The sequence below is a fragment of the Homo sapiens genome, chromosome 1 (genome assembly GCF_000001405.40).
Source record: "Homo sapiens chromosome 1, GRCh38.p14 Primary Assembly".
Classification (NCBI taxonomy): Eukaryota; Metazoa; Chordata; class Mammalia; order Primates; family Hominidae; genus Homo; species Homo sapiens.
Window position 1 is genome coordinate 244,592,474 of NC_000001.11, and position 14,274 is coordinate 244,606,747.

Sequence of the window (14,274 nt, forward strand, 5' to 3'; positions counted from 1 at the left end):
AAATATTTACAAGCATCTTTGAAAAGCTATGAAATTTTCTAATTCTAATTAGAAATTATTATTTAAAATAATAAGTAGTCTAATTTATTAATTAAAATAAATGAAAGAATGTTTAACCAGTAGGCATATTCTTTAAGTGATTTCATTAATTAAGGCAGGGTGGAGAGTGGCCCAGCCTAGATGCTCCAGGTTGCAATGCTTAGTGAAAGCCATTGGTGAAATACAAGGATGAGAAGAAAATGTTTAATAGTTGATGAGGACACCACCTTTTAGTGTCTAGCTGGCAGCTGCACCTGAAAGGCAAGAATATGAAATAGACTCTGTCACTGTGATGGGGGTTTCCTGAGTCTGTCCCCTGCAACGTGGTAACATACATGGAACATATGGCTGGAAACAGTGATTCAAGTGTGAGGACTGAGAAGACAGGGAATGTGGGGGAGGTGATTTTGAAGGAATAAGTCCTTGAGTTCATGAACGTGAAGCATTCCACTCTCGTGAGAAATCTAAATTAGGAAACATCTGAAGTTTTAAAATACACATCTATTGTTACTGATTCTGATGTATCTTATTCTTTCATCTGTTAATATTCTGGGAAGAACTGTACTGGAATAGCACAACGAACATGGGCTTTATTGTCACACATCCTGCTCAGTAGTAAAGCAAGGTCTGCAGCCTTGAACGAGTTTCACACAGTTTCTGAGAATAGTACCAGATCTACAAAGAGAGGACAGTAATTCACGCCTTAGTGGTTGTAAGAACGTGTTAATATGTGTGGATATACATGTAGAAAGTGCCTCAGTATTTCATAATTATATTTATCTGTTTGACCTTTGTGATACCTCCTTACCTAAACAAAGTCATGGGTTTAGTTTTAAGTTTGAAAAGAGGAAAGAGAAATAATGAGGAATGTCTTTTTCACAGGTCATATCTGAGGCATCAGCCATCGAAAAACTTGGTAAGAAAATGATAAAATTCTGTCAATGGACCAAATATATAAAATCACTAAAGTAGTTTTCCTTTTCTAGAGAGTAAGGTATATTTGGGGAGAATATGGCTGCCCTCTGAGGCTTGACTTCACAGAAAAGTTTCAACCTGTGGTTCAACTGTAAGTATATTCTCATCAACATTTTAACTTATATTGAAAGTTTCAAACTCAAAGCACGAAAACAAGACTAATTGATCATGCATCTAACAACACGTATTTTAGACTCTACTCAATATATGCGAGACTTGGTTTTCAGTACTAGTTATACAAAGCTGGGCCGTGATGGTCCCTGCATGTTGAGGGACATCACTATTTGGCAGCCGAAATTTCAATGGGTAAGAGAGCTGAGAGCCTGCCTGTCAGGGAAGCCCTTGCTTTATCCCCTCTGAATCTCTCCCCAGGCTCCTACCAGCACCCCTGCCTATTTGGTAGGAACTACCTTCCCCAGGTGATATAACTTCTCTTTCCACAAGCCAATAATAAATGAAAGCTTATAAGGAAAGAAACTAGATTGCCGACAAGTACATTGAGGGCATTTCAAAAATATTATCCCTAAATCAATTCTTATAGACAATATTTCAGCCAGGTACGGTGGCTCACACCTGTAATCCCAGTGCTTTGGGAGGCTGAGGCAGAGGATGGCCTGAGCCCAGGAGATCGAGATCAGCATAGGCAACATAGCAAGACCCTGTCGTTACAAAAATTAAAATAATTAGCCAGGCATGGTGGTGTGTGCCTGTGGTCCCAGCTACTCAGGAAGCTGAGAGGGGAGGATCACTTGAGCCCAGGAGGTAGAGGATGCAGTGAGCCAAGATTGCACCACTGCACTCCAGCCTGGGCAACAGAGTGAGACCTTGTCTCAAAAAACAAAAACGAATAATATTTCATAATAAAAATATGAATGAAATGCTATTAGGAAGACTTTTCCAAGTGATTTTGTATTTGTTTGCTTTCGTCTCTGACTTTATTCTTTTATTCTTGGCTTATTATTATAAAAGTTATACAGCTTGTTACAAAATTTAAAATATAGAAAAAATACGAGGTAAACGACTCACATTTCTAAATTTTTTGCTATTGTAAATAAATAATAGTGAATATCCATTCATGTACATGTTTGGTCACGAGTCCAGGTATGCTGTTAGGGTAGACTGCTGGAAGTAAAATTCCTATGTCTAAAACATCAACAAAATGTTCTTAGTCAAGGCTTTCAGCTTTTGGGGACCTCCTAGGCTGCAGACAGCTTCTGAGATCTCTCAGGGTGGGTAGGTATAGAAGTAATGAATCAGACGCTCCAGTTTAGTTTTGCTACCAGAACTTTTCCCACTGGGATCCTGCAGGCCTCTGCCAGCATGGTCTGGCCCCTAACCCTCGCCCATGGCACTTCTAAGACTCTACCATGTGCCCTTTCCATCTTAAATCATACTCCAGCAGTCCGTCTCTCAGAGCTCTCCATGCTATCCAGCTAATCTGCTTGCTTTCTTAGTTTTGATCTTCTTCTAGACACCCAATCATGTCACTGCTTTTCCTGGGCACCTGAAGCACTGCTTTCCCTACCAGAGGCCTAGTGTGTTTGTGTTTTCGTGTTTGTTTATGTAATGCTTAACCTGCCAAGTTTAAAAAATCTTAATCTTCTTTCTCAGAGAAGTGCACTCTTCAGTTCATCATTGCTAAACACCTACTTTACACCAAGAACGGTGCTAGGCCCTGGAAATGGAAAGATAAGTGACAGGATTTCTACCCTCAGAAGCAGAAGAGTCTGATAGAGCAGATAAACATATGCGCAGATATGCTGAGTGTAATGACAGAATGGAGCAGTGTGGGTGGATAGTATTGAAACTCAAAAGATTCCAACCCAGCTATAAAGAGAGCGAGGCTCTGGGAAATGCTCCAGAAGACTTGCATTTGAGCTAAGTCACTGAGTCTTATGGATAATGAGTATTTTGCTAGAGGCAGAGGAGGGAAGGAGAGAAGTGGGGAGAGTAATGTTGAATTCTGCTGGGTAAGTCTTTCAAGTAAAACAGACAGTTGGAGGAAGAAAATTTATAGTTCAAACGGTGTGATATTGTTGAGGCAAAAATTAGTCATGAAGTCTCAGGAGAAGAGGCCAGGAAGCTAGCTAGGTGGATTCCACACCACGGAAGGCCTTCTATCAAGTCTTACGGTGGAGTGGCATGATCAAATATTTGCTTTAGGCTGGGCACAGTGGCTCACGCCTGTAATCCCAGCACTTTGGGAGGCCGAGGCGGGCGGATCACGAGGTCAGGAGATCAAGACCATCCTGGCTAACACAGTGAAACCCTGTCTCTACTAAAAATACAAAAAAAATTAGCCGGGCGTGGTGGCGGGCACCTGTAGTCCCAGCTACTGGGGAGGCTGAGGCAGGAGAATGGCGTGAACCCAGGAGGCGGAGCTTGCAGTGAGCCGAGATGGCGCCACTGCACTCTAGCCTGGGCGACAGAGCGAGACTCCGTCTCAAAAAAGAAAAAAAAAAATTTGCTTTAGCTAGTTCTCTCTGGGAGAGGGGTAGAGGATGAATTTCAGAGAAACAAATCTAAGTAGGGAGACCAGCTAGTCAACTGTATTGGTAGTCCTGGTGAGGTAGGAGATCAGCAGGACTTGTTTTCACAACCCTGTCGATCAAAACAGGATGTAGCCAAGAAACTGGCCAAAACCAGCTAGCACTTGGAATTATAATACATTTGCATAAGACATTCCCACCGGCACCATGACAGTACAAATGCCATGGCAATAACTCAGAAGTTTTCATATATGGTTCCAGAAAGTCCCTTCCCCCCTTCTAGAAAATTCTTGAATAGCCCTCCCCTTATTTAGCATATATTTATGAGTAGGTATAAATATAGCTAGCCAGCAATCCATGAGTGCTACTCTGCCTATGCGATAGCCCTGCTCCGTCTACAGAGCAGCCATTCTGCTGTACGCTTCACTCTAATAAACTTGCTTTCTTTCACTGTCAGCTCAATCTTGAATTCTTTCCTGAGTGAAGCCAAAAAACCTCCCAAGCTGAGCCCCAAGTGTGGGGTTCACCTGCATCACTAGGAAGAGAAAAACAGATGACTGAAATAGCAACAAGGACAAAGAAAAAGAATCCTGTATAAGAAAATTAGTGATTATACACACCGGGGCCTGTCTGGGGTGGGGGGCAAGGGGAGGGAGAGGATTAGGACAAATACCTCACGCATGCGGGGCTTAAAACCTAGATGATGGCTTGATAGGCGCAGCAAACCACCATGGCACATGTATACCTATGTAACAAACCTGCACGTTCAGTACATGTATCCCAGAACCTAAAGTAAAATTTAAAAAAAAAAAAAAAGAAAATGAGTGATTGTAATAGGCAGGGCTTGATAATTGATAGATGTGAGTGGTAAGGGTAAGAGAATGAGGAACATGAATGACTCCAAGGTGACATTAGTTAGAAGGGATCCTCCACAAACTTCCACCACCATACCTGTCCATCCTCAAGCAACTGTACCAGGAACTCTGTCTGCCTTCCTGTCACTATAGATGAACTGTCTGTGTATCTGTCTAAGGCCTGTCCCTCCATTTGTAAGCTAGATCCCCACCGGTTTTCCTAATCAAGAACATTGCTCCTGAAACTGTCCTCCTCTTTCTCCTGTATCATCAACTTTTCCCTCTCTACTGACTCATCCTACAAATATACAGGTCTTTCTCCCACCAAAAACCAAAGCAAAACAAAATTAACAAACACAATCACAGAAAAACCCTCTCTTGACCCTACTAGCCCTTCAGCTTCTGTGGTCACTCTCATCAACTCTTCTCCCATTCTCTCCCAAATCGCCCTCAGCCTGGTTTTTGTGCTCACCACTCTATTGGCACTGGCAGCCAACATGATCAGTGACCTCCATTCAGCTAAACCGATGGTCAATGCTCAGGTCCCACCTTCCTTGATCTCATTAACAAGAATTGACACGGTTAATCATTTACCCCTACTTGAAATATTTTCTTCATCTGGCTTCCAGAATAGCTCATTCTCCTATTCTTTCTGTTTCCTTGCTGGTAGCACCCCCTTAATTACTTAGTTCCTCCCTGATTTCTTTTTTTTTTTTTTTTCATGATCTGGGATTTTGTTTTTAATTTTCTTAAGTCTTACGATCACCTATAATTTATAATTTCGTATATAGCTCCTCTACTTTAATCCTTTTAACAAGTTGGCAAAGCACCATTGCCAATCACACACACACAGTAATTCTACAGTTCTGTGTTTTTGAATAGCGGTTTAATGACAATCGTAAGTTAATACTTAGTCCAACTTAGTCAAGAGTCTGAAAGTAAAGTTTAACTTGCTACTATTTCTTGTCACACTGATTTTAAAAGGTGACAAGTGTCATCTATAAGTGTGAGAAGTGTTTTCATTTGATACGACACATAAACCATTAAAATGCCCTTCAATAAGTAAAAGGCAGCATTTTAGATACAGGGAATTCTAATTAGCTGGGCAGAGTTAAGACCAAAAACATAAACATTGCGTTCTTACCTTCAGCCCTTACCTTTCACAGGCAAATGAACACAAATTTAAAGAACATGTGAGTCTTGCTTGGTTCTGAGACAGTGCAAGAATTTTTCCAGTATTAAAATATATTCATATAACTAGTTACACACATCTAAATTAAAAACCAGTCTCCAGTAGGTTTGGGGATGGCATTCTCGTCTTTGTGAAAAGTTGGACGTTTCTCATCAAGCTCAATCATATCTGTAGAAGGGGAAACAGGGATAGCATTTACTGAGTCCGAATTGCTGTCAAAATTCAAAAAAACTGATCATATTCATTTAACCAGAAGCCAGTCTTACTTATCAGGGCTGCCCAACAAAAATATTCTGCCAGTCATACATGACCTGAACCCTGGTATATTAGATCAATGACACTACAATACACGTAAAATCATGAGACAATTCTGGTTTCTAAGTAAATAAGGCAGTGACCAATTCTTTCTGCCTTCCTTTTAACACCAGTGGAGATCATTTTTGTTCCAGGGATGTACTACTTGGGATTCTCCAATTGCTCCTTCCGTAGATGATGCATTTGTTCTTCTTGGTGTCTGTGTACAAGAATCCAGCCACCTCACCTGTCTTGCACCCACAGAGACCATGGAGATTGGGCCCAGTCTTATGCTTGCCTCCCTTTTCCACGGTGTGGCACTGGACACACTTCTAAACAAAAACACTTTTGCTTTTTTCAACATCACCCATATTTAATTCTCTCTTTTGTTGCTCGCACTACAAAGGTTCCCGCTCAGAAGCTTGACATCTGGCTCTCTGAGATCTCCCTGACCTCTTAGTGTTGGAATGCCCGGAGGCCCAGGGATTTCTTTTCTTTTCCCCATCTCAACTTTCTCTTTGAATGTCATCATCCAGTCACATGGGCCAGGATGTCTCAATATATTGATATATCCCAACACTGCATCTACAGCCTGACCGTCTCCCCTTGTATCTGTCAAGTATGCTTAGGCTATGCTGCAGTAATAAATAAACCCTAAAATCCCAGTGCCTAACTCTCCATGTCATAGTCTGATATATAGAACTACATCGTCCGGACATGGTCTCTCCTGGTTTGCCGCCGTGTCTGGGAAAAAGACTGGAGGATTGTATGGGATGTTTTAAAGGCTTAGAACTAGAGGTGGTTTCGACCCACATCCCATTATCCAGAACCTATTGCCATGGCTCAAATCTAACTGCAAGGTGGTGTATAAAATGTAATCAGATACAGTTCCTGAACCCCAGACTGACACCTCCACTGAGATGCTAAATACATATATCACTTTTGCACTTAGATGTCAATAGATATATCAAACGTAACCTGTCCAAAACTGAACTCCTGATCTTCCCCTCAAAACCTGCTCCACCAGTAGCCTTCCCCATTTTAAGTGGTAGCAACTCCATCCTTGCTCATCTGGCCAAAACTTTGGAATCTCCCTGACTCCTCTCTCTCTCATACACCCTACATCAAATCCATTAACAAAGCCTATTGGGTCTATCTATTTGTCAATGCCTGCTATTACAGACCCAAGTCATCACCACTGACCCGGATTATTACAACAGGCTTTTTGTTGCTCTCTCTGCTTCCACTCTTGCCTCCATATAGCAGCAAGGGTAAAACCTTGAAAACAAAGTCAAAGCACATTGCTCCAAAGCTCGAAATCCTTATCATGGAGTAAAAGCCAAGACCTTACAATGACTTTCAAGGTTCTATTTGATTTTCTGCCTCTGTTACCTTTCTCCCATTAAACTTCACTGCACTCACTCAGATGCAGCGAGTGGCTTCCTTACCGTTCCTCAAGTAAGAGTAGTTTCTACACAATGGTGAGAAGAGAAGCCAGACTGCAGGGGGTTTGCAAAATCAATGAGAAGTTTACAAGTAGAGGCAAAATATAGTCTACAGTTTTTCAGCTTTGGGCTGGAAAATAGAAGAAAGAGACAGGAATTTACCTATAGAGAAAAACACAAAATATGACCTGGATTTTTTTAAAGAGGAAGATAGATGAGTATGTTTACAGTTTGAGGATAAAGAAAGGAAGGTTAGAAATGAGTCATTCTGATTATAGTAATATAGCAGACTGAGCTAAGTTGAGTCACTCCCTCAACTTAGGACGTGACGGGACTCCCTCCCGTGATAGACACGTCATCCTGCATAAAACATAACAAAAATACTTTGTACATAACTAAGCTTGAAAGAAAGAAGGCGGACTCTCAGAAGCGAAGAGAGAACTGAAAGTTAGAGCAATGCTTTTCAGCCTACCTATGCGATCCAGGGCTACTGGCCCAGGATAATGGAGCTAGAAATTGGAAGCTGGGTTTTCAAGCCCCTGTGAGGCCAAGAGGCTCTTTCACAAATTCAGGATATATTAAGAGCTACCTAGTCCAAAAAAAAAAAAAAAGAGAGAGAGAGAGACTAGAAAACTCTGCTAATGCCCAGGTCAGTCACAAGGAAGGTTGTAACCTACATGAATTTGTAGGCAAAAACATACCTCCTATAAGAATGGGAGATGTCCACCAAAATGTTCACCTCAGGCCTCCTATGGATCTGAACTTATACCTAATAGGAATAGAGTTTAGTCACAGAAAGTGCCATATGAAAAATGAAGCTAAAAACTATCAACTAGCCTTGAAACCCCTAAGCAAACCCCTTGAAACAAAGGTAACTGGAGAAGCAAATCCAGAGATACAGGATCCTCACTGGAAAAGTCACCACCATCAAAGAATCGATCAAATCCAGAGATATAGGATCCTCACTGGAAAAGTCACCACCATCAAAGAATCGATCATCAAATCCAGAGATATAGGATCCTCACTGGAAAAGTCACCACCATCAAAGAATCGATCATCAAATCCAGAGATATAGGATCCTCACTGGAAAAGTCACCACCATCAAAGAATCGATCATCTAAATTTACAAACATTTAAGGAAACGGACCCCCATGAGGGCGAGTCAGCAGATAAAATAAGTTGAAAAATGAGCACACAAAGCAAATGCTTAAAAATAACAGAACAATCTGAATAATATAGAAAATGTGTTCAAAAATGAATAAAGAGGAAAAATAAAATAGAAATCATAAGGAAATAATACGACTATGAAAAGAAAGTAGGCATATTTTAAAAATTTTGAAATTCTAGACATGAAAATGTAGTCATTAAATTCAAAATTTTAGACATAATTACAAACCAGATTAGATATAGGTGGAGAGAGAATTACTGAAAAAAGAGGGATGTGGAAATTAACCAGGATGCAATACAAATAGGTAAACAGATAAAGAAATAAGAAAGAGGGTAAGAAACAATTTCAGCAGAAGGACAAATTTCAACATGTGCTTAATAATTTTTTCCAGAAGGGGAAATTACAGAAAATGCGTTGAAAAGAGAGGCAACATTCAATGAAAAGAAATAAAATATGAAAACTTTTCAGAATTTAAGGCCCAAGTCAGAAGGTTGAGGATTGGCATGAAGTCTCAGATACCTCAGAATGAAGCCATAAAACAGTAAAGAAAAAGGGAAAATCACATACGCTGTCATATAAATAAGACAGATTACCTACAATGGAATGTCACCTAGACTGACAGATTTCTCACCAGCAAAAATAGGATAAATATAACTGGGGGTCAGATGATTAGCCATGAGACTGGGCTGAGTAGGGAACGAAGAGAAGGCAAGAGAGAAATGCTGTGTGAGAAAGCAGGGAGGGCCGGGCGCGGTGGCTCCACCTGTAATCCCAGCACTTCGGGAGGCCAAGGTGGGCGGATCACTTGAGGTCAGGAGTTCGAAACCAGCCTGGCCAACATGGTGAAACCCCGTCTCTACTAAAAACATAGAAATTAGCCGGGCGTGGGTGGTGGGCGCCTGTAATCCCAGCTACTTGGGAGCCTGAAGCAGGAGAATCGCTTGAACCCAAGAGGCAGAGGTTGCAGTGTGCCAAGATCGCACCACTGCACTCTAGCCTGGGCAACAGAGCGAAACGGAAGGAAGGAAGGAGAGAGAAGGAGGAGAAGGGGAGAAAGGGAAGGAGAAGAAGGGGAAGGGGAAGGAAGGAGGAATTGGGGAACTGGAAATCTCTATGAGGTCAAGGGGCAGATGAGAGGACAAGTGGGGGATGGGAGAGGGTGAGGTGGGAGAGTAGTCTACTGGAACAGCACTATTTGGGATTTTTGTGGCAGCACTTGTTTCTAGAAATAACTTATTTGTCTGCTACTAGGAATCACTTGATAAAACCTTTTACTTCCAATTATCCTAAGATAATGAACTGAATACTAGAGGTCAACGACAGAGGGACAAATGGGTAAGGTCCATTGTCCAGTTCCACTGAATTATAGTATACATAGTTGAAAACCAGGTATCCGATCAGGTATTCATCAGAGGTGAATTTAGCTGCTCACTCTGAGACTCTGGCAGACTTGAATCAATCAAGCTTTGAGAATCAGCGGCAGGGGTGGCCACCGGGAAATTAGCCCATAGTCTAGGTCTCTGGATTACAATAAATGCCTTAACGTTATAGGGAATGGCTCAGGTACAAGGCTCGGCAGAGTTTTACCGATAAAAGGACAATAGACTGACTGTCCAACACTCATAAGAAGGAAGCCAGCCCTGGGAGTGTGATCTAGCTGGGAACCCAAGTCATCACAGCTGGATTCAGAGTCCCAGGGCTTGCCCCACACTTACTAGCATTTGATGATGAGTCTATCACGCTCCAATCCCAAACTAGAATTCAGTGCCACAGAAGCAGCCCTAGAGGAAACAGTGGGGCAGGATTTCTTTGTTACCCTGCAGGGAGTTCAGGAACAGATATTCTGGGTGTTTTAAGGGTCCTGAGGATTCGCTTTAGTCAGGTACGGTAAGATATACAGACGCGGAAATGGCCATCAGGAAGGAAGTGCATTATACATACAGATCCCTAGAAACTGGGGGCAAGGCATGCTCCATGGGGCCACACATGGAAACATCAGGGTCAGTCAGGAGGCAGAGGGAGTGAGGGGGAAATGTGGGCAGAGCCTTATTGCAGTTTCTGTGGGAAGGAATAGGAGAGGCAGGGTAAGCATGTTTGAAATTGGCTACTTTGAATAATTTCAATGGGGCTCTGGGGACTAGGGACTCTCCCTGGTTGTAGTGTGTCTGCCTCTGGGGTGATGAGGGTAGGAGGATAGTAGCCCAGGGCTACTAATAAAGAACCCCCTTTCATAGGCAGGGGCTCCTGGAAGAGTTGGTTACTATCTCTAGGAATTGGCTAACCTTCCGCAGACCCCCTAGAGTCAGCAAGGCCCCAGAAGTTATGGCATCAGAATACAGAAAATTAAAGTCGTGGTTAATACAATGGGATAGCCACAAGGATTTGTCTAATAGGTTTGCAGGTGCACAGAGAGGTCTCTTTCCCAATTCCCAAAATGGAACTACCACTGTGGGGAGGTTACAAATTGCAAGGAAGAGCTGCCAACTAGTAACATTTCTGCATTTCTTAGGCTTAATTAGTATTATACCCTACATTAAAGAACATTCATGAAAATAAGCCATGCTTATATAGACAAGTATTTTTTCAAATATATTCAATGATATAAATTAAACATCATTGTAAAAGATCTTTACAAACCCAGAAATTATGGGTCATGTAATTTACACTTATTGCCACTAGATGGCACTGTAGCATATTGCTCTTGCAAAAGATGCCAGCTCAGTTCAATTAAGATTTTTTTTTTTTTTTAATAAAACATATGGCTTGCAACTAGTTCTTAATAATGTAAGAATCTGGCCAGGCATGGTGGCTCACACCTGTAATCCCAGTGCTTTGGGAATCAGAGGCAGGAGGGTGGTTTGAGGCCAGGTGTTCAAGATGAGGCTGGACAACATAGTGAGACTCCCCATCTCTACAAAAGATTTTAAAATTTACTGGGTGTGGTGGCACATACCTGTAGTCCTAAAGTTAGGAGGATCCCTTGAGCCCAAGAATTAGGGGTTATAGTGAGCTATGATTGTGCCACTGCACTCCAGCCTCTGCAACAGAGCAAGACCCCATCTCTAAAATACCAATAAATGGTAATAATTCAATAGTCTGATGACTTTTGGAAGATGCAAACATTCTGTTCTTTCCAAAGCTCCTAGAATTAGAGCTTTGCTAAAGCCTGACCCAAATCTCTGAAACTATACAAAAATACATGTATGCCTGCACATGTGTGCATTTGTCTGTTGCGAAAGGGTCCCAGAGCTCTCAGTAGAGTTTTTGAATACTCTGTGGCCTTCCTCCCCATCAGAAAAGAAGCCAAACACCAATCCTCCAATCCCTAGCTAGTCATGCCTGTTTGAGAACTAACCTTCTGAGTTCATCTCTTCATGACGTCTCAAAACTAAATAGGATGGAAAGAAAATAACTTCTCAGGTACCACTTTTTGACATTTAAAATTTTTGTCCCCAGTTTGTGAGAATGGGACAATAAATGCTTTTAATAACAAGGGTTGGGTGTTAGCAAGCTGTAGCAGACCTAGAAGGCCAGATACAAATGTGAGGTGAAGCAGAGATGGGGCAGTGAGTCAGGAGACACTGTCAAGGACCTGTTATTTTGTCTGATAGACACAGAGCAGTGAGTGCAGCAAGAAGCTCTACCAGAAGGAGAAGGTGGGGCGACAGTCCCAGAGCCAGCAGCCTCGAAGCAAGTGCCTGACACTAAGGTCCTAAGTGAAATTCTACCCAACAGGCATGGGGGACAATTTCATTCAGAAATATGGGAGTAACTGACGGAGAAGGAAAACATGTAACCATTCTTACGGTCACAAGTTCTGGTGTGCAAAGGCACGACTTTATCAAGAATTGAACTTTTAGCTCTGATTTCAAGCCTCTATGTTCACATGGTAGCAGGGAGAAAAATATTAATATGAAGCACTACAGCTCTTTTGAACACTTACTGAGTTTGCGGTAAATAAGCCCAATGGGACCTGTGTCTCCAGCTGTAGCATCAAGGCAGGGGTAGCCGGTCCATCTTGCACTCCCCTTGCTGGTGTCTGCTGTTGGTAGAAGTCGTCTTGCATTCTCTGAGCATGGGCTAGGTGTGACTATAGATCCAGGGAGCGTACAGGCTACGTCTGCTTCTCAGCCTCACCTCGACTTACTGACACCACTGATCCTTCCAGACTCAGCCACACCTTCCAGCTGGTTCCTCCTAGGGGGATCTGCAGCATCTCCGTTCTCATCATAGTAATTCTGTGGTTTCATTCTCTAGTACATCTAGTACATAATAGGCAGCAAATGAATATATGAGCTAAAAGACAACAGGGCATCCTGCTGTGCCCTTGCTCTGCCCTTTCTCCATCCATCACATCCTTCCGTCTTTCTCCCTGCTAACACCCATGACAGCAGTACCTAAGCTACCCTCACCTGATCAACAGATGGACCCTGTCCAGTGAAGAGAACTTAGAGTTCCAAATGTCCAAAAAGTAAAACATTTCTCCTTCATTACTATCAGGTTTTATTTTGAGAGCTGAATGAAAGAACATCTGTTTATTTCATCCAGCTGTCAAAAGACACCTAAACAATAGGTACTGTTATTATTTTACAGAAAAAAAAATCAAGGCTTCAAGAGTTTAAGTAACTCCCCCAGAGTTACTTTATCACTTTATGAAGTGATAAAGACAGGATTTAAACCTAAGCACTTCTGACTCAGAAGCTGGAACTCTTAACCCCTCTATTTTATATTAAACTAGTATCTTTCTGTTTGTTGTTTCTTTCAGATTTGATGATAATGGCTATGTTAAAGACGTTGAAGCAAATTTCATAGTGTGGGAAATACACGGCAGGGATGACTATAGCTTTAATAATACTATGGCACAGGTATGGCATCTTTGGATTTAACCAGAATTTAGCATGCAACTAGACAATGTCTTCCTGTTTTAAATTTATAAATAAGCGATCTAAGGAAAATAGAATAAGGCAGCAGTGGGTAGGAAAAAAATCACCTCTAGATTAAATTATATGGCTACTAAAATTCATTTATGAAAAATAGAAGTTGTCACATAAGACAGACATAAAGGGGTCAGAAAAAAAATAACATTTATAGTAGGATGATGCAACTCTATGAGTCTTCTTTTCTCTCCAAACTGTATTCAGTGTTTGATTATTTATGGGTCTGCCTTTGGCTTTAGGACATTTATCACTTGTGCACTAAGTCAAACGGACACTCTGGGCTTCGTCTCACTTGACTTCCCTGCATCATTTGACCCTGCTGACTTTGGCTTCAGTGTCCCTACACTCTCCCGGCTTCCTTCCACCCGCCAGGACTGGTTGCTCTTGGCCTCCTTGGTGAATCTCCCTTATTCTATCCTTTCACTTTGTAGGCCGCAGCAGAGTGGTCTTACCACTCCCAATCAACACATTTCCCCTCCCTGTGTGGGCCTTCCTGCCCTGAGGGCCTCCTGTCATGATGGAGCCTCTCTAGAAGTTACCAGCACTGATTTCTAATATTCCCCACAGATTTCACTCGCAAAAAAAAAAAACACAAAAAACAGGGATGGCTCTTTCCGAAGTAATGTTCTTATCTACCAGACACCTTAATTATCCAGAAGTATAACCCATCTAGATGGCAGCCAAGAGAACTGAGTTCCACCTGCCATCCCCCAGAGTATTGCAAGAATTCTTTCTTTTGCTTTTTTTTTTTTTTTTTAAGAGTCTCGCTCTGTTGCCCAGGCTGGAGTGCAGTGGTGCAGTCTCAGTTCACTGCAACCTCCACCTCCTGGGCTCAAGCGATTCTCCTGCCTCAGCCTCCTGAGTAGCTGGGACTACAGGCA

The 14,274-nt window shown here is 42.0% G+C and overlaps 1 protein-coding gene and 1 pseudogene across 19 annotated transcripts in view, besides 1 other annotated feature; one reads left to right on the plus strand and one right to left on the minus strand.

Moving 5' to 3' along the window:
- Window positions 1–14,274, plus strand: part of CATSPERE (catsper channel auxiliary subunit epsilon) — a 189,263-nt gene that overhangs the window by 141,232 nt on the left and 33,757 nt on the right. For 16 of the 19 annotated variants that reach the window (XR_001737095.2, XR_001737096.2, XM_011544138.3 and 13 more), the window contains 3 exons: window positions 922–955; window positions 1,026–1,105; window positions 13,222–13,321. Coding sequence is in view for 16 of the 19 variants with exons in the window: in XM_011544138.3 (XP_011542440.1) it covers window positions 922–955; window positions 1,026–1,105; window positions 13,222–13,321 (214 nt within the window). In the remaining 3 variants the exon portion in view is untranslated. Of the gene's footprint in view, window positions 1–921; window positions 956–1,011; window positions 1,106–13,221; window positions 13,322–14,274 lie in introns of those variants that run through there. The other 3 variants (XM_017000951.2, XM_047417117.1, XR_001737099.2) reach the window with 2 other exon arrangements.
- On the minus strand, window positions 5,917–6,214 carry CYCSP5 (CYCS pseudogene 5; annotated as a pseudogene).
- Window positions 7,555–7,764: an enhancer, noted in NCBI's record as "active region_2840". NCBI's record gives its function as "activates an Ori minimal core promoter by ATAC-STARR-seq in GM12878 lymphoblastoid cells {active_cell/tissue: GM12878}" and the evidence as "EXISTENCE:reporter gene assay evidence [ECO:0000049][PMID:35858748]".